The sequence below is a fragment of the Homo sapiens genome, chromosome 10, assembly GCF_000001405.40.
Source record: "Homo sapiens chromosome 10, GRCh38.p14 Primary Assembly".
In the NCBI taxonomy this organism is placed as follows: domain Eukaryota; kingdom Metazoa; phylum Chordata; class Mammalia; order Primates; family Hominidae; genus Homo; species Homo sapiens.
The window spans coordinates 89,578,334-89,602,791 of NC_000010.11; the positions used below are offsets into that span (position 1 = coordinate 89,578,334).

The window sequence follows — 24,458 nt, forward strand, 5'->3', positions numbered from 1 at the left end:
TTTCACTTAGCATAATACTTTCAAGGTTCATTTGTGTTGTAATTCCTTTTTATGGCCAAATATTATTTCATTGTATAGAAGTACACATTTTATTTATACATTCATCTGTTGATAGACGTTAGGGAAATTTTAATTTTTTAGTTATTATGAGTAACATTACTAAGAATATGCTCGAACAAGTCATATGTGCATGTATATCTCCATTTCCTTTGCGTATATACATATCTGAGAATGGAATTGCTAGATCATATGGTAATTCTATATTTAACTTTTTGAACAACTGACAGACTGTTTCTCAAAGTGAGTGTATTATTTTGAAATCCCAACACTAATGTATGAAGGTTCCTATTTCTCTATTATTGCCAAAATAATAGAACCATGCCTTCAAAATTCTGAAGAAAAATGGCATCTAACATAAAGTTCTGTAGTCTGCCAAACTATCAACTAGGCATGACAATAGAATAAAAATTTTTCTAAAAATTTTTAGATATGCAAATACTCAAAAATTTTTATCTCCATCACCTTACCCTTGGGAAACCACCGTGTTCACAATGATAAAATAAAATAAGAAAAAAGAAAACTTGTGTGCTGCTGTTTTCCATAGTCTTGTGCAAGTATTTGACTTTTAAAACTATATGCATGTAAAATGTTGAATTTTTTTAAAAAATACTTAAATTTAAAAAGATGAACTCTTCTTATGGACTGATTGAAAACTGTTTAGTGAAAACATTAACTGAAATCACCTCAATTAATTCTAGTTTGGAATGTTTATTTACTTGATAATTTAAAAAAACAGGCAAAGACTTTTATACAAAATTCCTTTTTATTTTTGTATTGCAAGTGACGAATACTTGTAAACTAGCCTTTTGAAGTTGACTTTGCAAGGCTTGACATACATGGTTACACTGAAGAGACACCTTTTGGAATGTGAAATAATTGAGCTCATCATGGGAATAGGTGTTTGTGGCTGGGTTTTTTAAAAACCCAGTGGTCAACACATCACAAATTTAAAAAGTATTAAATTTCAAACTTGTGCTGTGGAAACTATTAAATGACTCTGGTCATGACAAAATCATTAACAATAAAGATTCAAGTAAACAGTTCAAATAATATTTTTTCATTAAATGAGCAGGGGAAAAAAGGTGCATTACTAAATCAATATATTATTTTACGTGATAACTTTATTTTAAATACATATTATCTAAATCAAATATTCTAAGAAAAAGAAAATTAGCTATCAGTTTCCCAAAAACATCTTTCATTTTCATTGAGGAGGTGGCAAGAATGAAAGCAAGGTGAGCCCATCATTCCTTAAAAGTTGAGGCCATGACTTAATCATACTTGCATTTTATGATCATCTGACTGAAGAAGTCTCTCTCCTCCCTCTCTATCCTATCACCCTGTTTCTTTCCTTAATAGCAATTGTCACTCCCTGATATTTTCTTGTTTATTTATTGGTTTATATGCTTCAAGTTTATCTCCATTAACCAAATGTAAGCCTAATGAAAGCAGAGCTCCTGAAGTCTTGTTCACATCGGATTGCATCCTCAGTGCTACCCAATGCCTCTCAGATCATTGATATTTATTAAAAATTAAACAGATGAGCAAAAGAATGGGCAGCTGGTAGACCTAATAAACGATGTACACTAATGAAATCTTTTTCACAAATGTGGCGTCATCTTCTGATCACTGGGAGGAAAACTGCTTTCTAACAATTCTTGTGAGTGATAGTTTACGATGCTCCCAGTATTGAAACCTTCTTGCTCAATGAATAGACTCATAGTGGGGCTGTAGCTATTAGTAGCCTGTGTCCTCTGAGAAAGTTCTCAATAATTTTTATAGCCATCCTACTTACAGCGAAAGCATGGTTCACTCTGTAGCTACTGCATGAGGTCTGGCACAATAGGGAAAAAAATGGAATAATGTTAGGTATTCAAAAGTACGTAACTTGTTTACTCATTTACTTCAACAGAGCATTTTGCTTTACCACTTTGAAACCTGATTATTTCTAGTTTCACTTTCCTTGAAACTCTTTGATGGCTCCACAGTGACTACGGAAAAGTCCGCAATGTTAGCATGGAAGACAAGTCCTTCCACAGTTGGGCCAGCTTCCTCTTTCTCACTACCTGGTTTCTGTCTCATGAACCAGGCTCCAGCTATAGCAAAGAGCTTCCAGTCCCTGAATAAGCCAAGTGGTTTCTTCCCTCAGCGCTTCTGCTCACCCAGCTCCCTCTGCTTGGAAAGCCCTCCCTTCCTCTCCACTTAGTGATTCCTATTCTTTGGTTAAGACTTCACAAAACCTTCTCTAGCACCTTCTGGAAGACAAATGACCAACCTCTCTTCTGGGTAGAGGCCACTACCCTCACAGATTTCTTATAGGACCTGGCTCAAGTTTACTCCCAACACTGCATCTCCCACCACTTTCTATTTTTAACTCCAGACACTGGCCTCTTTGCAGTTCCTCAAATCCCTATTTTCATTTGCCAGGAGTGAAAAATATTTTCTCAGACATTTACACAATGTGTTCTCACCTCCATTCAACTCTCTGCTCAAAGGTCACTTCCTAGGAAAGGCTGTCTTAGACCACCCTGAGATATTCCTCCCCTTCTCATTTTTCTGAATAGAACTACCCCTTATTTAGCCTTTACACCAGCTTACTTTTTCTTTGTAGTACTGATCTAACATTATATATTTAGTAATGTACCTGTCTTCCCTTCTAGAATATAAGCTCTGTGATGGTGGATCTTTGTTCTGTTTACTGCTGTGAATGTGAATGAATAAATGATTGAATGGCACTTGTGGCACTTGATGACTGATGTTGGCTTGAGATTTTGCTGTCTTTCTCTGCAGGGGCTGTATCCTATGCATCTTAGTCTCCAGTTCCTTCCTGGCACAGAGTAACTTCTTAATATTCCTTCTATGACTGAACGACATCAAGTATACATTACCTATAACAATTGTTCCCAACAAAGAGACTCTGAATCCATGTATACTGCATAAGGTGAAGAACACAACTATATTTCCACAATCCCTTTGTCTAAAACTCGGGATCAGATGTGTTTCAAAATTCAGAATCATTTATTTATTTATTTATTTTATTTTTTTGAGACAGTCTCACTCTGTCTCCCAGGCTGGAGTGCATTGGTGTGATCTCGGCTCACCGCAAGCTCTGCCTCCCAGGTTCACGCCATTCTCCCGCCTCAGCCTCCCAAGTAGCTGGGACTACAGGTGCCCACCACCATGCCTAGCTTTTTGTATTTTCAGTAGAGACGGGGTTTCACCGTATTAGCCAGGATGGTCTCGATCTCCTGACCTCATGATCCGCCTGCCTCGGCCTCCCAAAGTGCTGGGATTACAGGCGTGAGCCACCACACCCAGCCAATTCAAAATCGTTTATTACTTAACACCCCTGTCAGAGTCAGTATCCTGTTATCTAACTCATGACGAGCTTTGCAACAAAACATGTGAAGAGCCCTACTACATGTGAGAAATAATGCTCAAGTCAGCTTTTGCTGCCAAGTGAGCTGTCAAGATAGATTTCTTAAGTATGGGATTTTGGAAGTGTGGACAAGGAGCTGTGGATATGTATTAGCATACGGAGATTGGTGAAACATCTCCATACTAACATGGGTTTCCCACAATCCAGAAAGTTAAGAATTACTGATTTAATAAATTAGTTTAAATAATTTATTTTTTCATTGTAGCTATCATTAATGAAGCATTTACTTTGTGTCAACCCCTGTGCTGAGCTCTTTAAATATGTATGTAAAACAATTATTTGTCCCATTTTATAGGTGAGGAAACTATGGTTTAGAAAGAGGCTTAGCATATCTTTGAACTGGTAACTGACTAAGCTGGACCCAGACTGAAGCTGCCTCACGATAAAAAGCCATGCTCTTACTTCATATTGCACAAGGTCAAAATTCTTTAGTCTTCCCAGTTTCTTTGTGATGTTGATTCTAAGAAAAGTTTCTGTAATTCAAGTGAATGTGAAAATCCTCAGGCTACAAGATCTCTTTTGTAAAAAACAGGCTGGCTATATGTAGTCAACATTTAACTGATATTTGTATAATGGAATAATGTATTTTCTCAGCTACACCAATATTTTAAATGTTTGTAATGAGAGATCAAGTGATTTCAGATAATTAAAAAAAATACAGTCACACTAACTTGCCCTGATTTCCTTTGTAGAACCATGATCTGCGGAATCAAGGTCTGCTGTTACCTGATAGATGAGAATAGGAATAGAAGAGGCCATCAAAAGGCACTAATTATAAATAATATGTAGATTTTTAACTTATCCTTTTCAAGAACACTTTAGCTGTCTGAATTTTTTTAAAGCCAGATAGAAGTTGGTAAAATGTATCTGTGATGACCAAATTTTGAAACTCCTTTGGAATTACCAAATATAGCAGAGGTAGTTGGCATTAAGGAGTCACTTGTATAGAAACAATAAAGCTCTATTTTAAAAATCTATGCATAGGGCTACAGCTTCACCTGAAGACAGTGTTTTGGACCATACCACACTCATGGGAAAGCCTCCAATTTTGAAATGTAGAGTAGCAAAAACACAACAGACAGTCATTTCATGGTACAAAGCAGATACTATAAACATGAGAATTAAGAAATGAAAATAACATATACACTAAAAACATCACAACAGAAACAGGCTTTATTTCAACCAGACAAGTGAATTCTTCAATTAACATCAACTTCTTCAAGACTTGAAGATATGGAAATTAAAGACGGTGCTCAGAAGGCAGAGAAAGGAAGATTCATCATGGAGTAATTGTTCTGTCCTTCAAAAATCCCTTTCAACAATAAGCTCAATACACAAGATCATGGGATCTCATGCATCCCAATATTTGTACATGACCCTCATTTGAAAGTTACCCATCAGTCTTAATGAAATCTTTCAAAAAGAAAAAATATATAGATCAGTATAAATTATTTTTAATTTTAGAAACTGAGATTGAAGTACAGTTTTTAGTTTAAAATATTAAAAATGAAAAAACCTTTAACATTATTAAAGATGTGTTGTTACAAAGTTCCTAGATATATACATGTACAAAACAAATAGATATTACTATCTGACACCTCAACCCATGACTTACCCTAAATCTCCTGATATGAACAATTAATCTACTGGGAGGCTTTTCCCAATAAGTTTCAAATTTCTTGCACAAAGATTTGCTGCCATTCATATTCTGTGCATGGATGAGGACATTTAATCACAGACTATTTCAACTTAATATAACCTAGCATAAAATAAATCCAATGAAACACTACATTTATAAGCGATAGGACAAACTTGCATATAATTTGCAACTTTTGCCAGACTCATTAAATTCATTAACACATTCAGTCTTCTCTTCACGGGCATTTTCAAGAGCTTTAGATCTTGTGCTTAACTTTGTATTGAGCTGGTCAGCACCTTCATTGATATGAACAATTATGTCAAAGAAAGGTTACAGGTAGGGGGAGGGACATCATCTGAGGACAGAAACAGAGGGAACGACTCTTTTTTCAGAAGACAACTAAAACAGAAAAACAAGACAAAAAAGGGTACAAAACAAATAACAAAAGTGTTCACAGTAAAACATGCCAGATTTGTAGTTTCATTTGAAACCAACAGCAAATCATGAAACGTCATGAAAAATATAAGTCAAGGTAAAATCTCCTAGAGTAATTACTAAATGAAGTTAAAATCACCACACTGATCAGTAAACCCCAGAAGAAAAATGACCAGCGCTTACATATCAGGTCCTTCTTAAACATCAAACAACTTTTCAAAGTTAATGCATACAATTGGTAGGTTTGGCCACGCTGCACCATTTTTTTAAAAAAATACAGTATACAGAAAAAAAACCTTTTATATTCCCCCGTTTTGAATCATTAGCTCAAAACCTAAGAGTAAAAGATCATCTGGAAGGATTTTAAATTATTTACAAATCCAGCAGGTTCATCTGCCATAATGGCTTGGCTTCCGTCCCAAAGCGACTTTCACCTTCTCCAGCAGCAATTTTTTAGTTCTCTGTCCTTTTGGGAGGCTGTTTCCTCCACTGCTCGTCTCTACTTGTCATCAGTCATTTTGAACAGTTCCAACAGTGCCCCAACGGCTCCAAAATAACCCTACGAAAACAATACAAAACGATGATCTCTGAACCTTAGCCAAATATGTATTGTTTTTAATAATTCTAGGAATGCCACTAATATCGATAAAAGAGAAATTTAAAACCTAAATTGTGTGTCACAAAACATGGCAGAATAATAACAACTATAATTTATTGGACACCTACTTATATATATTAAATACATTCACATATGTAAATGCTTAGAACTATGTCTGGTACATGTGTGCTAAGTGTGTGCCAGGGTTGTTAGTATTATAACTATTTCATCTTTATCTTTGTCATGGCAAAACACTGACTATTATTTCACATATGAGAAATGGAAGGTAATAAAGTAAATTACCCTTGCAGGGTCACAGGTCTTGTACCAGGGCTCAATACCAAATCTGTCTGACTTTAAAGCTATATTTCATGAGAGAAAACCCTAAACTTCCCTCAGTAGCTCTTGCAAAGGCACTTAAATTAGTCCAAGCCTTACTTTGCCCATCTGTAAAATAAAAGACCATACGTCTATGAAAATGAAAGGAACTAAAAAATATAAATTTTTAGAGAACTATGTGTTAGTTTGTTCAGGCTGCTATATATAACAAAGTACCCTAGACTGGGTGGCTTATAAACAATAGAAATTTGTTTCTCACAGTTCTAGAGGCTGGGAAGTCTAAAATCAAGGTGTCTGGTGAGGACCCATTCCTCACAGATAGCTGTCTTCACATTGTAATCTCACATGGCTGGATTACGTGGTGGAAGGGGCAAGGGAGCTCCCTTAGACCTTTTTATAAGGATGCTAATCCCATTCATGAAGGCTCAGCCCTCATGACTTAATCACCTCCCAAAGGCCACCTCCCAATACCATCACTTTGTAGATTAGGATTTCAACATAGACATTTGAAGTTGGTCACGGCACAAATAATCAGTCCACAGCAATCTGTTTCCAAAAGGCAGGAGGCTCCATTCTTCTGGCACTTGCTGAACTCAATAGTTATAACTGCAGCAGTAGGTGTGAGTGTGGCAGGATGTGGATGGATCTTTGCTGCTGCTGCTGCTGCTGTCTGCTTACATTTATTGAGGCCCCACTAATGCTAGAAGTTGTTCTAAGCACTTTACATGGATTTACTCATTTACCCATCACAATAACTCTATGAGACAAATATAATTGCCCCATTTTACAAATGCTAAAACAGAAATGGAGAGACAGAGTCATTGTCTAAGATCTCACAGTCAGTAAAACGCAGTGTTCTTAACTACCTGGCTAGATGACTTCTCTTAAGAGATGTTCAGTAACATTAGTTGAATGAATGAGAAATTTAGTGAGGACTCCTAAGGCCAGGGCAGGTGACCAGAAAGCCACCATACCCGTGCTTCTCAAAAGTTGTCTCTCCATAATATTCTCTAGTAAGGCCCGCGTAAGCCAGAGGGAATTTAAGAATGTAGAGAATTTTCTGAGGAACACATTATGAGGGTTACAAGAATACTCCATTTTCACTGGCCATAGAGACTGAGTTATGATATAGGGTAACAAACCAAAGCCAGAGTCCACAGAGGCTTAGGATTGTACAGGGTGATATAGGCGACTACATTTTTACCTACAGAAGTGAGTTTCCCCAAAATGTTGGCTTTTATTTCCTATCTTACCACCTAACTTCCCACCTGATGTTATAGAAGACTTTTTATCCCTGACAGTTTCCAGGCTTTGTTGTCTGCATTAGGCCAAGAAGATCTGGACTTATGGTTACCAGATAAGACACAGATAAATGGCAGATAAAATAACTGGGCACCCTGTATTTTTTATTGCTAAAAATGGCAACTCTATCTGGACTAGAACAGGAGTTTTCTTTTTCCTTTTTCATTATTTTTTTTAAAGGCTGAGATGTTTTTTTCTTTTTCAAACAAAACCTTACATGGAAACTCCATAAATAATCAGGTATTCTGGCTGTGGGGGGTAGGGAGTGGAGGTTCTGGGACCTCATTCCCCCTCACTCAATGCCTAAAGTCTGCTTTAAAAACAAGAGCTTTCTTTAGTATGAATTTCTATCATTGGGCCTTAACTATTTTGTATTTAAGTACCTGTTTCATATACTTTAATAAAACAAAATGCAGGCATAGAGAGTTCTAAATAACTCTAAATGCATTGGTAACTTCTTAAATAAATAGCTCAGCTTAAAAATGAGAAAAAAATGGCACAGTAGTTATTCATTACAATTGAAATTGACAATACCAGCTCTCTCAATGTTTTTCTGCTGCAGTGTATACAAGAGATTAGATACCTCCAGTGATAGCTCATTGCAGCACTGCAGCATTGATTTTAAAGGAGGTGACAGAGGAGGTGGAAGAGAGAAGGGCCCCCACTTTTTGGTTTATATTATGGTAGAAACTCCAAGTAAGGGGGCCGGGGTGGCTCACGCCTGTAATCCCAGCACTTTAGGAGGCTGAGGCGGGTGGATTACCTGAGGTCAGGAGTTCGAGACCATCCTGGCCAACATGGTGAAACCCTCTACTAAAAATATGAAAATTAGCCAGGTGTGGTGGCGCACGTCTGTAATCCCAGCTACTTGGGAGGCTGAGGCTCGAGAATTGCTTGAACCTGGGAGGTGGAGGTAGCAGTGAGCCAAGATTGCGCCACTGCACTCCAGCCTGGGTGACAGAGGGAGACTCTGTCTCAAAAAAAAAAAAGAAACTCCAATAAGGGACTCTGAATTTACTGACACTCTCCATTTCCTTTGTAAAGAGGTTCACTAATGGTCAGGTACACTGACCTCTCAAGGCCAATAAGCTACTCTTAGTAGCCCAAGCACTTCTGTTCTTACCAGCTGAATTGCTTACTTGCCAAGAGTCAGCTGTGTTTATCCTTAAATTTGTTTATGACAGGTTGATTGTAATGTAATAATCTAGTTTAACTATATACCACCTAAATCAATAAAAAGAGCACAAATTAATGGTCAGTTCTATGAAAATTCAGTTAAATTCTTGAGAAATATTGAAAAAGGTAGTCAGAAATAATTGCTGTCTACTTAGGTGGATGCCACAACGTGAAAGAGAGAGAGAAAAACCTGTAAACATTCTGCAACCAATTTACTTCATAAGTATCTTTATCTTCTTAATCCACTTTAAGGAAACAAACTGGAAATCAAAGGAGGTGCATAATATTGTAGATTATGAAAGAAAGATAACTACAGGACTCCAATCGGAGAAACCATGCTCAAAAATAGGCGTTGGTCTCACATCAAAAGATTGGTAAGTAAGTGCACATTTACACATTTTAAGGTATAATAAAATGGTTGAAGAAAGCTTTCATTAATGATTACTCATTTTATCTGACTTTAAAACTTTTTAAAAATGTTATTATAAATTGACAACTTATAATCGTATATATTTATGGGGTACAAAGTGAGGTTATGATTTATGAATACAATGTGAAATAATTAAAGCAAGCTAATTAACATGTATATAACTTCAAATACTTAGATTTCTTTGGTGAGAACATTTGAAATTTACAAGTTTGAAATGTATGTTCCCATTTCCTCTACCCGCCAGCCTCTGTAACCACCATTCTACTCTCTGCTTCTATGAGTTTGATTGTTTTAGATTCCACAAATAAGTGAGGACATGTAGTATTTGTCTTTCTGTGCCTGGCTTATCTTAGCATTTTTTCCAATTCCATCCATGTTGTTGCATATTACAGAATTTCTTTTTAAGTGCTGAATAGTATTCCATTGTGTATATGTACCACATTAAAAAAAAAATCCATTCATCTGCTGATAGACACTTAGGATAATTCCATAACCTAGTTATTGTGAGTAGTGCTGCAATAAACATGGGAGTGCAGGCATCTCTTCGACATACTGATTTTAAATCTTTTGGGTAAGTATTCAGAGGTGGAACTGCTGGATCATATGGTAATTTTATTTTTAGTTTTTTTGAAACTTCCATGCAGTTTTCTATAATGACTGTCCTAATTTACATTTCCAGTGACTTTTTAAAAAATTAAATTAACCAACTACCAGTCCTGGTTGTTGGATAAGAACGCTTCCATTTTATATATGCTTTTTTCTTATCCTTTGTGTAAATGCAAAGTGTAAATGGCAACTTTTCTACTTGACCAATTTAAAAAGCTAAGAGACCTGCTGATATGTTAGCCAAACCAAAATATACTCCACATATGACAGTAAGTCTATGCAAGCTCAACCTACCTCATGTTCCAAAAACAGAGCTTTCAGTTGTCCTTTGGACCAAAAATCCATGGCATATGCCAGCAGCTTCATGGAGACCATATTGATTCTGAGAAAATTTCCAACAAACACAACTCTGTCTATGTTCTGGAAAAAATATTAAAGAAAACAATTGAATCATGGCATAAAAATAGCATTTGGCAAAGACCCAATGTTCTGTATGTCTCTGTACAGAACCTTGAAGAGTGAATATTCCTTGTTTTTTTGGTGGAATTATTTCAACATCGCCAAAATGAAGTTAAACCAACCTTATAGTGCATTCCACAAGAACAAGAGGCTGAGATTTTTGTTGGGCAAGGCAGAAACTGATATTGGACTTATTTGCAGGTGTTATGTCAGACTGCCTTACGTCTGACATTAAGCTCTCAAAACATACGTATATATACAATTTTAACTGGAGTTCAAGTTCAGCTAAATTTTCATGTGTAATACCTCAATCCCCCAACTTCTAGGTATAAAATACTCTTATAACCAACTCACAAATAAAACGGCTATGGTATGGTTTATTTGTGTAATGAATAATGCTCAATTTGTTCTGTGCTGGACACTAGAAATACAAAGAAGAAAGAATACTCAGTCTCTGCCCTCAGGATATGTGGTGGAATATCCTGTTTGGCCAACACATGAGTTAAAATATGGTAACAAAAAATAATTCTATTTTTGTCATCATGGATGTGGCTTTGCATTCTGAACATACACTTATGAACATTCCTCTCCTATCCGGTTCATGCAGACATGCTTCAAATCCCGTAAGCTTCTAGCTCCAGTGCACTCGTTATACTTCCCACTCCCCGAGATATTTCTTAAGCTCAAACTGGAGCTCAACCTGTCTACCATGCAGAGACTGCTCACCACTCACTCACTCACTTAGAGCCAGTTGCTATGGTCACTCATATCAAAGGCAAGAGAGTCTTTGAAGCTGGTATTATTTTCTGCTTAGTCTATCAAGAGTAATCAGGGTCTGGGAACATCACCTTTTAACTGCCTCAAGTTTTAACAATGAATGTTCATTAACCCATTAGCCACTGAAAATTTTCCGTGGGTGGAGGAGTGGAGGTAGTTTTAATAAATTTTCATTAAAAAAAAAAACAAAAAACTAGCCACAAATCACCCAAACTAAGAGGTAGCAAGGAACACTCTAAGAAACTCAGACTAAAAAGAAATTTAATTAAATTGAGGAGTTTTGCCCTTTCTCCCAAAACAGGGGAGTCCAAGGGAGGATTTGCTCAAAGCCCAGTCCTGCATTACCCTAATAGAAAGTCAGAAGGAGTAGAAGTGGCATTAAAACTGGAAGAGCATTCCATGTTTCAAATAAATTCCAGGTGGGTCAAAGATGTTAAAAAAGAAAAAAAAAAAAAGAAAGAAAGAAAAGAAAAAGAGATAGGGAAAAATATGGAAGAATTGGAAAAAAAAGTTGAAGTAGAAAATGCATAATAAAGGAAATCATCTCAAAATAATTGCTACATTTACTTTAAAAAGTTAAATTTATTCGGGGAAAAACATCACCACAAACAAATCCAAACGGGAAGCAATAAATGGAAAATATTATCAGTACATTTCACATAAAATGGATTTGTTAATTAATAAAGAGTTCCATAAATCAACAAGAAAAAAAGTCCAACAACCCAATAGAGTAATGAGTAAATAATATTAATAGTTAATCCCAAAATAAGGTATAATTTTTAACCTATTACATTGAAAAAAATCAAAAAGTTTGATAACTCTGTGGAGAAACTTGTACCGTTATAACCCTGCTTGGTGGGAATGTAAATTAGAACCACCTTTATGGAGGGAACTTTATATCTGTTAATATTACAATCAACATATCCGATGACTCAGCAAGTTCCCTTCTAGGAATTTATCCTATTGATATACTCACATGTAGGCAAAATAATATACATGTGTGTACATATATGTGTGTATACCGTATACAAATACACTGAATTTTTAAATAATAGTAAAAGACTGGAAAAACCTAAATATCATTAGGAAATTGAACAAATCAATAACAGCATATCTATATGTTAAAATGCTATATGGCCATTAAAAATGAAGCAATTTAAAATATACTGATATGATCAATTTCAAGATGCGTTATTACGTCAAAAAGCAAAAGGCAGTATTTTTAGAGATGCTTATTAAAATATATAGGGTAGATTGATATAATATCTGGGATTTGTTTTCTAGTATTTTAGCAAAAAAGAGGGAAGAAGGAGAGAGGACCAGAGGGAGGAGGAAGAAGAAAATATAGAGAAAGCATGTGTTGTGAAGCCTTAATGATTGCAGAATCTGCACTGATGGATTAATGGAGGTTCTTTATACTGTTCTCTCTCCTTTACATATGTTTATGAATTTTCTTAATAAAAAGCTGATAAAGCAAGATATAGAATAGTATATGGAGGGTGAATTGTATAGCATATAATTATATTTCAATAAAGCTATTATTTTGTAAAAAGAATGCTATATAGAGTTTGCTACCTTTGGAAAGATAAATGTATCCTACATTACATACAATATAAACAAAGATATATTGTAATACGTACAATAAAAACAAACAAAAAAACCCTAAAAAAAATGGCAGCCTCTACTGAGGTTAACACTGAGAGACAGAAGTGGAAATGGTGACTCACTTCCTTGTGTATCCTTCTAATGTCTTAGAAGTCTGTATTATGTGTTTGTATTATCTATCCAAAAATTTGAATCAGAAAATTTATAACTGATGGGGAAGCATTTCACAGCATCTCAAGAATCACAGCAAAAATGTTTTAGATTTGGTAAACGTGGTGTCCCTCAATGAAATGGCTGCAATCAAAGGTTCTCAAATCAGTGACTCCAGAGAGCAAAGCAAGGACTGAGGGACTTGGTGGCTGCTCTCATGGGAAATGCAACACTGCCAGTCACTGGTGCGGCCACTGGGAGTCTGCACTGACTGGACACCCTCTGGTAGAGCCTTGGCCCCAAGGCGACTGGTGATTCCCTTCACTCATTCAGCCCCACAGAAACATATAAAATAGTTGCTCAAACCAGTGTATAACATGGCTACATTTTCAAATTGGCACTCGCTCTACTCCACCAATCAACAATATTGAAATTGAAATCAAAAGTGAAAAGTAAAGTCAGTTGCTCTCTCCCAAAGGGATTCTGATGCCTGTGAAAAGACCTGCTGACCTGCTGGCTCACTCCAGCAAAAAGCACAAGAAGCCAGCTCTGCGGAAAGTAGGGGAAAGGGCATCTATTGCTCTGTGGGGCAAGGGTTGTTACCAGCTGACCTTTGAGAGCCCATGAGTACAGCCAACTACACACATATTGGTCTTGGGGCTTGTTTCATTACTTGGAAAAATTCCCTTTAAAGGTTAATGTCAAGAAATAAACTCTGTTACATTGAGTCCCATGACTCAAGTGGACTTTGAAAAAACATCTCTGGAATGCTCTTTTCTCTGAGTATCAGCCTCCCATTTAAACTCCGTCTGAACTGAGGGCTTCCAAAAAGGTATATCGCTGATCTGCAGGCCAGTAACATACTCTGTTCAGTGTTATGCAAGGAGAGTATGTTTTTTGTCAACCCAGAACTCAAAGGCAGGGCTAACACCCATGTATCATAAAGACTGCCTCATACACTAACATTCAACTATTCAACTGAGAGGGGGCTCAAGGGGCTTTCTGAGTACCTATAATGTTCTATTTCTTGATCTGGGTGATGGCTATACAGGGTTGCTTGTGTGTGTAAATTAAACTGTAAGCTTATAATTTGAGCCTTCTTCTGTATGTATGTCACCTCTATTAAAAGCTGTATTTATAAAAACTCCATTACAGATCTACTGTGGTTCTTTAATACTCTCCTATGACCTGTTCCATGCCTCAACTCCTCTTTCCTGTCTTTCTAATATACCTCAGTGTGAAGAGTTCTACTTTATACACCTTGTATTTCAGAAAAGGTTCAATTTTTTCCAAACGAATCTTGCAATGCTTCAAAACATGTTAATACAACTTTGTATGTCACCAGCTCCACCCCTTTTTGTGCCTGGGACTCTGGCTGGCCTTGGCTGTAGCAAGCTCTCTGTGCTTTGATAGCCCTGTACAATGCTGCTTGAACTCCATGCCACAAGGCAACACTGTAAAGAAGCTGAAAGCAGAGAGAATATCGAATATTGCAAGTCGAGCATTTTACCTGCAGTTATGTGCAAGGATGCTCAGACCTTTTCCTCACATTTCAGTGGACACATGGCAATAATGATGGTTAGAGAGACTATGACATGGGTTGTAATTGTATCCTGTTTCCACAGGTGAATGGTTTATCATTCATTATCATCCAGTGCCTTCTTAAAAATAAAGCATATATTCCTCCCCCTCCCCCAACACACACCCCTCCTGTTCTGTAAAGTGTGACTAGAGTAAAGGGAAGCTTTCCTAAGGATATGTAGTTGTGTAAGAGTCAACAGGTGTTGCACTGCCAAGATGATGTATATGAATGACACACAGCTTTCACCGGGTTGAGTAAGGCCTTACCTCATTCAACGCGCACATCCGAGCAATGGAGCCAATGTTGTTGGTGATGGTGACCAATGTGGCCCGGGCGAGGTCTTCCTTGCTGATGGAATCTCGCTTTTCTTTACTCATCATGTTGCCAAAGCTATGTTGGAAATATCAGCGAGAGTGTTCAAAATCGTCCTCAGGCAGGGCCCATCCTTCCACCAAAGTATTGTGGAAGGCTCTACGAGTAACTGTTCAAACTCAAGTGATCCAATTTTGCTACTATGGTTTATAAGCAGACAGAATTATAGTATGCATGGCTGACCGCCCTTTTCTTAATAGGGACAAAGTAGCATGTCCATTAATGGGGGGGGAAAATTAATGCCTCTAGATATCTGGACAAGAATGGAACAGGTGAAACTATTGCAGTTTTCTAGAACCTTCTTTCAAAGTTGCCTTATTTTAAGAACAAGCATCAAGAGCTAAACATCTCAGTGCTTCATCAAGGGCAGGAGATCAAGTCTGAGCTCTGATACAACAGGTATCTGCACCAGGCTGGTGGACTGACATTTTAAAACAACTTAGTGAATGGCCAGGGTGGAGAGGCTGCCTTGTGTTTAATCACTACTGCTCCTAGCTACTTAATCTCTACCTTGATGCTACAGCAGATCCTTGAAGGCCAAATCGTTCATAGTCTCCTCCGTAAATGTCCTTCACCAGTTTATCAACATTGGTGCTGTCGCCTTTAGCTGCCATTTCCAGAGCTTCTTCAAAGGTCTCACAACCAGTCAGCAAGCAACATAGGCCTAGGAATGTTCCACCTCCAAGACTGAAGGAATAATAAGGTTTATTTTTAAATTTTACTTTAAGATATGCCCATCCAAGTCCCCAACTACGTCAAGACTATTAATATGGGTGAATAAAAGCAGACGAACAAAGGGGCACTTGAATTAAAGTGCTAGGGTGCAACAGAGCTTTAGGGTAGACTGGATATGAAAAGAGGGCAGAGACTAAAAATAAACATCAAGGAAAATTTGCCCCTAAATTTGAGAACAAAACCAAAGAAAGACTCTCACTGATTTCTGTTGTGAGACCTTCAACTAGCCACTAACCTGAGTGCTTTGTTCAGCCTTCCCACCTATGAAATGGGGCCAAATCATGATCTCTTCTATTTGGGTGGTCTGAAAGCAGCAAATAACCAAGAAATAACTCCTATTAAAAAACCATATGCAGCTGAATATAAATACCTAGAAAAAGAATTTGTGTGTACATAAAGCATAGTTCAAAGCTATGAAGCCAAACCCTCTGATGACAAAACTGACCCAGGATTGTGCCAGGAGTGGCCTGTCTTAAAAGCTGTGTTTTACCTGACCTTGCTTCTCTAGCAGAGATAATCTCATTTAGCCTCCTTGAATATTTCTAGAAAGGAACCACTGATCTGATACTGAATTTTTTCCTAGTAGACTCTCCAGAAGGTTTTTAGTATATTACTTACCACTCCATAGTAAAAAACAGTAACAAAGGTCATAAAGTGGTTCCAATGGTTGAACTACATTTAAAAAGCTTTGACTTGTTTAGAGGGAAAGTTCCTCTAAAACAGCCTAGACAAAATTAGAAAGTAATTACAGTAGCCAAGAATGAACTCAATTGTGTATTAATATCAAAGTTACCTAATGGAAAGAAAAGCAGATTCAGAGTAAAGTATCGCCAGTGAACTCCCAGCAGGAAAAGGAGTATTGATTCCTAAAGCTAATGGACATAGGTTTTCCTATTTCTTTACCATGTAGAAGAGTAAATGAAGAAGAGCTGCTCACATCCATCTGTTCTGAAGCCCCAAAGAGCTACTAGCTTTGGAAATTCAATTTGTGTTTGAGCACTGGCTTTTACTTCTAAGAATAAAATCAATTTGGGATTAAGGTTATGTTTAATAATGTCAATAACTGTTAACAAGAAGGTACAAAACTGTAGATAGGTACATAGTTCTTGAAGATGCATCTAAAACGAAACTGACCGGGCGTGGTGGCTCATGCCTGTAATACCAGCACTTTGGGAGGCTGAGACAGGCAAATTACTTGAGGTCAGGAGTTTGAGACCAGCCTGGCCAACAAGGTGAAACTCTGTCTCCATTAAAAATACAAAAATTAGCCAGGTGTGGTGGCTGACACCTGTAATCCAAGCTACTCAGAAAACTGAGGAAGGAGAATTGCTTGAACCCAGGAGGTGGAGGTTGCAGTGAGCCGGGATTGTGCCATTGCACTCCAGCCTGGGCGACAGACACAGCGAGACTCCATCTCAAAAAATAATAAAATAAAATGAAATAGTGAAACTATGTGTAATATTCTTAAATTGTCATTTGTATAAAAGTATACTTGATTGAGGCCAGGCGTGGTGGCTTATGCCTGTAATCCCAGCACTTTTGCAGGCCAAGGTGGGTGGATCACCTGAGGTCAGGAGTTTGAGACCAGCCTGGTCAACACGGTGAAACCCTGTCTCTATTAAAAATACAAAAATTAGCCAGCCTTGGTGGCACGCGCCTGTAATCCTAGCTACTCTGGATGCTGAGGTGCGGGGATTACTTGTACCCTGGTGGAGGCTGTAGTGAGCCGAGATTGCACCACTGCACTCCAGCCTGGGTGACAGAGCCGGACTCCATCTTAAAAAAAAAAAAAAAAAATATATATATATATATATATATATATATATATATATATATAACTTCATTTACTAATATATATATGTACACACACACATATATATATGATTGAAATTATGGGTTTTCATGGAAAATTATGTAGCTAGGTACCACCAGTAGCAGATACCCAAACTGTAGATGCAGTTCCATGAGTAAAGGAAGAGGTCCATGTACATTATTACCTTCACAACTTAGTCACAGTACAAACTTTGGATTTCCTCTAAGAAAGTTTATCTTTATTCACATTTAATGCAGTATGTCATTCTACATTGCTGGTTTCAGCCTACCTACAAAACTACGGTGGGAACATGTTTTGGTTTGTGTGCTATTTGGATTTGTTTTGTTTTCTCCCTGTGTGTTTTTAGAAAGATGTCTTTGCTTCCATTTCTAGCTTCTAAATATCTGTCATCCCCATGAATAATCTTTCTTTGGACATTAAGGATTTGTATCAATCGAGGCATTCAACAACCCACTCCAAAGGTAGGCAACTGAAGACACTGGCTAACTTAGAAAGAAGGTAACCCATTGGCTGATGTGTTGGTATAAATGAAAAAGGGCAAGTGCCTTGTATGACTGGAAAATGACAGACAACTCCACATAAAGAATTGGAGCAAATGAGGTAAAGCGAGCATGCATTTGCACAGTGAGTGCACTGCAGATAGGAGGAAAGAATGCATGGCTGCAGAAGAGCCAAATGTCTCCCAGCACTTTATTAATATCCTTAACCTGCTAACCATTATTTAATCAAGTGATTTTCTTGCTCACAATCAGATGCATCTGTTTGTTTCAGTAGGCATACAGTAAAAACTCTCAGTATATCAGAGAGAAAAACAATGCAAGAAAAAGCTGTAGAATATTATCATCATTTAAAAATAAAACAAACAACATCATAGTGGGGGATGTTAGGAAACAGCAGAAGAAACCTTCAATTAAGTGCTCATGCCCTTAAAACAGATTCCAAAATAATGAGATGAGATGTACTGCTACTTTCACCAAAGTTTCAAAATTATCTGCATTCCTCTTTTAACAGATTACACATTCTACTGTCAGCTATGAAGTACTATTTCTTCCATTGACTTCTATAATTCGAGTTGTGTCACTAGGAAAAAAATGTTGCTACCCAATCTGGGATGCAACAAAATTATATATAACACTGAAATAAACCATTTGAAATCATGTTTAAAAGGAAACTGACATCCTGTGTAGCTTCTTAAAAATAAACATCTTTAATGTTTAATGGGAAAATCAGGTATAATACAATAAGAAAAAACCTGGAGTGACAGCTATCAGTTCACAATAGGAGTAGCAAAACTTAAAGCTAAGCCATTTGCTAAAACAGTGGTTCCCAAAATGTGTTTTACACACTCATACTAACCATAGATACTAACTTCACTGCTAACTGTAATCGTTTATGTCAGAGGTTTCCTAACTTGAATTAAAAGAAACCTTTGGCAAAACAACTCTGGATCAGGATCACAGCCCCACAGACTTGATGTTTCATTCCCCTCCCTTCTCGTGGTAGCCCCTGAAAGGGTTCTCTATTAACCTGCAGGCTTCGGTAGCACCTTTCCAAAACTACTGATTGAAGAGAGAGTTTATAGGGAAGCTTGAACATCCAGACAGAATTTGTTGATGACTGGAGAATACTGGACATTAATGGGCATTTACCAATATTTATAGACATTATTACACACATAATAGAAGCCAAACACCACAGTTTGCTTCTTTGCAGCTATCCAAGATGACCCAGATCTGCGGAGCCTCCAAGTTTAAGAAAGTGTACCTGTGATGTAATTCATTAAATTGTTAAGTGTTAATAAAACTAGATATCTCTAATGGTGAACAATGTATAGCTTGCTGTTACCTTGGGACTAGCTTTACCAATTCAATTACTCCTTCTGGGAGGCGGTCTGTAGTTGTTTAAAAATTATGTTTATCAAATCACTCTCTAATGTAAAACCAACTCAGCTGAAATATTCATGTCTCTGATATTCCTGACAGTCCTCATGAGGTCACGGAGTCAGTTTTGTTTCTTGTGTGAGCAAGCAAACTTCTATATTCTCAATGAGAAAATGTATACTTGGTAGCAATTAACTTACAAAACAAAGCCTATACTCTGGACACAAGTAGGTTTCAATTAGAATGTGTGTGTGTGTTTGTGTGTGTACATGCATGCCAGGGTTTCTCAACAGCAGCATTAGTGATATTTGAGGCTCAATAATTTTTTGTTACCTTATGTACTATAGGATTTTGGCAGCACCCCTGACCTCTACCCACTAGATGCCAGTTGTAACAACCAAAGAAAAAAAGATGTCAAACATGTCCTGGGGGACACTGTTAAATCTTCCCCTCTTCAGTGGGGAACCACTCATTTATCACAAGTCATGGAAATGTACTGCAAAAGCAATGTTCTCCTCCTAATGGGTGAGTAGTCCTGCAGAATTTCAGTACTGGAAAAAGTCTGTAGAAGCGATCTAAGAAACAGCACCCTTCATGGCAGAAATGAGGATACTGAGACCCAGAGAAGTGACACGATATCTGCATCTATCAAAAACACTGGTTTCAACATCAAGTCCCAAAGCACATTCTACATGGCACTAATCTCCTAAGTTGTTCCTCTAAAAATGGGTTCTATGGTTCCACATGCTGGAGAAATGCTTCATATCAAATCCTCCTCCTAGAATTAAGGAAAACCTATTTAGTTTTGTTTACACTGTGATGTCTTAGAGAGATCTGACCCTAGATGTTTTTCCCATGTTGAATACCCGTTAACAGGAAGCTGAGCCCCTTGGCTCTTACATGGGCCTTGGGGTGTGTGCACTGAAAAACAAGGCCCTCTGCCCCACCATGGCCATGGGGCTGTTTCCCTGTCTACTCCACTCCAAAATTCCCTAGGAGGTATGCTGACTATTCCAGTTTTCAGGTGGAGCATTTGGCTGAGGGTAAAAAAACATTCTTTGTAGACATAGTTTGGTTTGCTGTTTGGAATGGTATATTATTTCAAGCAAGTCACTCCGAGCTAGGCATCAATGAGGGTCCAAAAGAAGGTTCCTTCTGAAGTCATCTGTGACCATCCCAAGTATCCTTCCATCTGAATTCTACTGACCCTGCCAATCATTTGGCACTTAATGTATGCCTCCTTCTTGGCAAATTTCTGGTGTGTGCGATCCTTCTTCCCTCAACCTGACCAAAGTTTCTATCAAGGCAAGAACTGTTTTATTAACATTTATATAAATCACCCACATACCACTTTAACACACCATTTGATAAATTCTTTTTGGTTGGCCAAGGAGGCCAAGATATTTCTTTTAAAAATGTATTCAATATAAATAACCTTTTACTATAAACTGGTCATCAAGAAAGAGGTCTGGGTTCAAGCACAAGCAGAAACATGTTTACCTGGTCCCTGTAACTCTTTTATAGTTGTCCTTGGAGTACACGGCTAGAATGCTGACACCTGAGCCCATGTTAACCAGCAACATAGGGTATGGGTTATCAAGGCAGTACGGCTTTTTTTGACACAATTCAGGATTTGTGGGATTTTCAAAATAGTAACATTCTGGCTTGCCGTTGAAGCCAACAGAGTCGACATAAAGCAGGCCCTGAATCAGACAGTCCAGTTCATCCAGTTTATGCAGCTGCAGGTCAGCAATCTAAAACAAAACACACAACAAAATAAAACCTTGTGAGATAGGCGACCATCTAAGGGGAAGCCCCAGAGGTTTTATTTAAGATGGGGTCATTCACATGAAAAGCATGGAGACACCCTTAAAACAAGTTGTAAAATCTTGCAGATAATCAGCCACTGCACTGGAAAAGTAGCCTTGGCTAGATGTCATACCTGCCCACAGTGCATGCTAAAGGACAAGAGCTTGCCTGATTGTTTGAAATGCACCCATCAGCGTGTGTTGTGGGTTGAATGGTGGTCCCTGAAAGATGGCACTATGTCCTAATTCTGAGCACTTGTGAATGTGACTTTATTTGGAAAAAGGGTCTTTGCAGATCTAATTAAGTATCTTGAGAAGAAGTGACCATCCTGGGTTATTGGGGTGGGCCCTGAGTCCAATGGCAAGCATATAGACACACAGGAGAGATTTAAAAGATGCAAAGGAGAAGGCCATGTGAAGACAAAGGCAGAGACTGGAGTGCTGCTCAACAGGCCAATGAATGCTGACAGCCACCAGAAGCTGGAAGAGGCAAAGAATGGCATCTCCCCAAGAGCCACTGAAGGAAGTACGGTCCTGCTAATGCTTTGAATTTGAACCTCTGGCATTAAGAACTACAAACGAATAAATTTCTGTTGTTTGAACCATTAAGTTTATTTGTTATAGCAGTGACAGGAATCTAATAGGGAATGCTGCCAAGAAAGAGGTGCTTACACAGGGTGAGCAGACTGAGAATATTCAGAAAGCAACAAAAATGCTATACTTCCTTGGTAGAGCATGAAGTCCCGAGGGACTGGGAACTGGGGTGAATCACCTTTGAGCCCACAAAGCCCTACTCCCCTTTTTCCAGGCTTGGGCTCTGTAGTTAGATCTGGCTTTGAATTCTAGCTCTAAAATTTACTTAACTGAATGATTTCTCAAACCTCAGTGCCCTCATGTGTAAAATGGGGAAGATAATAATAACATTCATTGCACACTGTTGCTGTGAAGATTACCTAAAAATATAGGTAAAGTGCTTACATAAGCCTTGGCAAATACAAAGCATTCAAAAAATGTTGGCTCTTTTATTAATGTCTGGGGTGGTCCCCAAGTGCCCTATTATGTTCCTGTGAGACAAAAATGTACAGGGGCAAAAAGGTAAAGGGGAATGACCTGGCTGAGGGCTAGGCTTAGGGTCTGGTAGCCATTTTGCCTTCTCAAAAGTTTAATTTATGATCCTCAAATATATTACTACTGGCCCAGAGATCTGGAAACATCATTTTCCATGGACCAAAGAAAGAAAAAAATCTAACAATCACCAACATGAAACTGAACAAATGAAGATAATTTAAGAGACCCAATATAAATTTTTAAAAAATCTCTTTAAAAATATAATAGCAAGTATTTACTGTTTACTACATGCTAAACCCTTGTACCAGATTATTTAATTCTCCCTAAAACCCTAAAAGTTGGTACTATCAACCTTATTCTATGGTTAAGATTCACAGAACTTAAATAACTTTCCCTAAGTGACACAACTAGCAAATATCTCCCAATGACTTGCTGTACTTCTCGTGTCTTCATTGTCATAATGGGTACTGCTTCTGGAGTCTGGAAACAGCCTACACAAGTACTAGACTCAGATATTTTGTCAAAAAGATATTATCTTCATTATAAAAGTTAAGAGGTAAAACGGGCTGGGGTGTGGTAGTTCACACCTGTAATTCCAGCATTTTGGGGCGCCGAGGTGAGAGGATCACTTGAGCCACGGATTTTGAGACCAACCTGGGCAATATACGGAGACCCATCTCTTAAAAAAAAAAAAAAAAAAAAAAAAAAGCCTGGTGTGGGGTACATGCTGCTGGTCCTAGCTGCTTGGGAGGCTGAGGTGGGAGGATCACTCAGGCTTGGGAAGTCAAGGCTGCAGCGAGCCATGGTCGTGTCACTGCACTCCAGCCTGGACAACAGATTGAGATTCTGTCTAAACAAACAAACAAAAAAAGAGCTAAAACAAAATTTTTGACTTCATGTTACTCATTTGAATTTCCTATTTGACAACATTTTTGACTTCACATTACTCATTTGAATTTCTTATTTAACAAAATCCTCTGATTGTATACCTGCAGAACGGAATTAGTTAGAATAGGTTACCAACCAGATAGTGGATGTATTCTTGATTATTCTTGAAATAAACATTCTAAATGACCCATGGTGCTAAGTAAATCTACCTCATAAATGGTTCTAAACATTTCTTTTTTTACCAAGTGAAACTTCTGTATGAGATGTATGTAATTATACATGTTTTAAGAAGCAAAATTACAGGTATAAAACTATCTGGAGACCTGAAAGACTATAGCAGGGCATAGCAGTGTAAACACTATTTCCTCTGTTCTCCCTGATTCCACAGCCTTCCATTGCACTTACAGCACAGGTCACATTCTGGCTTGTTTTCTAGGTCTCTTGCTGCCCCTTAGCACTATGCTCAAAGGCCTGCACATAATAATTGCTTAATAAACATTTATTATGTGGAACAGGGAGTTATTATCTCTTGGATCACCCCAAACTGAAAAGTAGCAATTTCATCAGCCAGTCTTGGAAGTATAGGTTAACTGCTTAAAAATTAATCAGAGGTTCATCAACAATATTGACAGCCAATTCCAGAGCCAACATAACAAACACAAAGTCTGTCCTGCTGGACCTCCTGAAACTATACTAGGAAAAAAGAAAAACCTGCCAAGGCAAATAATCTACGTACGTACTAGAAAAGAAACATCATTATTTCACCTTTTCCCTAAAAATTATTTTCTAACAAAGTGCTAGCAGCAAACATCTCTTCTACACATTTCACTGAGGGGTGGATATCTCTGAAGCTTGAGGTCATGCATCCCCAGACAGGGAAACAAAAATATGTGTCACTTTCACTGAGCCCTACAGAGACCTCCCTCAAAAGTCTTCACCATCTGGGAAAAATGACAGGGTCCCAAATGCAGGCAGTGAGTCATACTGCTACTTGGATTTTTCAAACAGGACATCTGAAATTCAGGACAAGTTGGGAATTAATTATCAGACTTTGCAGTCCATTAGTACAACTGAATGAACTTTGTGGAAAGCTTAAAACAGCATGTTGAGATTTCAGCTAGTGAGAAACACTCTTTCTCGGGGCTTAGTTTCCTTTACATCAAGGGCCACAGACTCAAATGCTTAAAGGAGACTGTAAGAAAACAAAGGAGCAAAGGCCTTGACTAGATGTAGAGTCACAGAATGATAAGGACTGTAGCAAACAAGTCAACCTGCA

At 37.8% G+C, this 24,458-nt stretch overlaps 1 protein-coding gene and 1 non-coding gene across 8 annotated transcripts in view; both read right to left on the bottom strand.

Annotated features, from left to right (window-relative positions):
* PANK1 (pantothenate kinase 1) overlaps nucleotides 1,162–24,458 on the bottom strand; it is a 65,748-nt gene continuing 42,451 nt past the window's right edge. For 5 of the 7 annotated variants that reach the window (NM_148978.3, XM_017016334.2, XM_017016333.3 and 2 more), the window contains 5 exons: nucleotides 20,919–21,172; nucleotides 15,480–15,656; nucleotides 14,864–14,987; nucleotides 10,319–10,444; nucleotides 1,162–6,132 (listed from right to left, as the gene is read on the bottom strand). In NM_148978.3, the coding sequence (NP_683879.1) occupies nucleotides 6,073–6,132; nucleotides 10,319–10,444; nucleotides 14,864–14,987; nucleotides 15,480–15,656; nucleotides 20,919–21,172 (741 nt within the window). In that variant the 3' untranslated portion in view covers nucleotides 1,162–6,072. The remainder of the gene's footprint in view (nucleotides 6,133–10,318; nucleotides 10,445–14,863; nucleotides 14,988–15,479; nucleotides 15,657–20,918; nucleotides 21,173–24,458) is intronic. The other 2 variants (NM_148977.3, NM_138316.4) reach the window with 2 other exon arrangements.
* On the bottom strand, nucleotides 14,414–14,494 carry MIR107 (microRNA 107). Its single transcript, NR_029524.1, has one exon. It is a non-coding gene; the product is annotated as a microRNA 107 (primary transcript).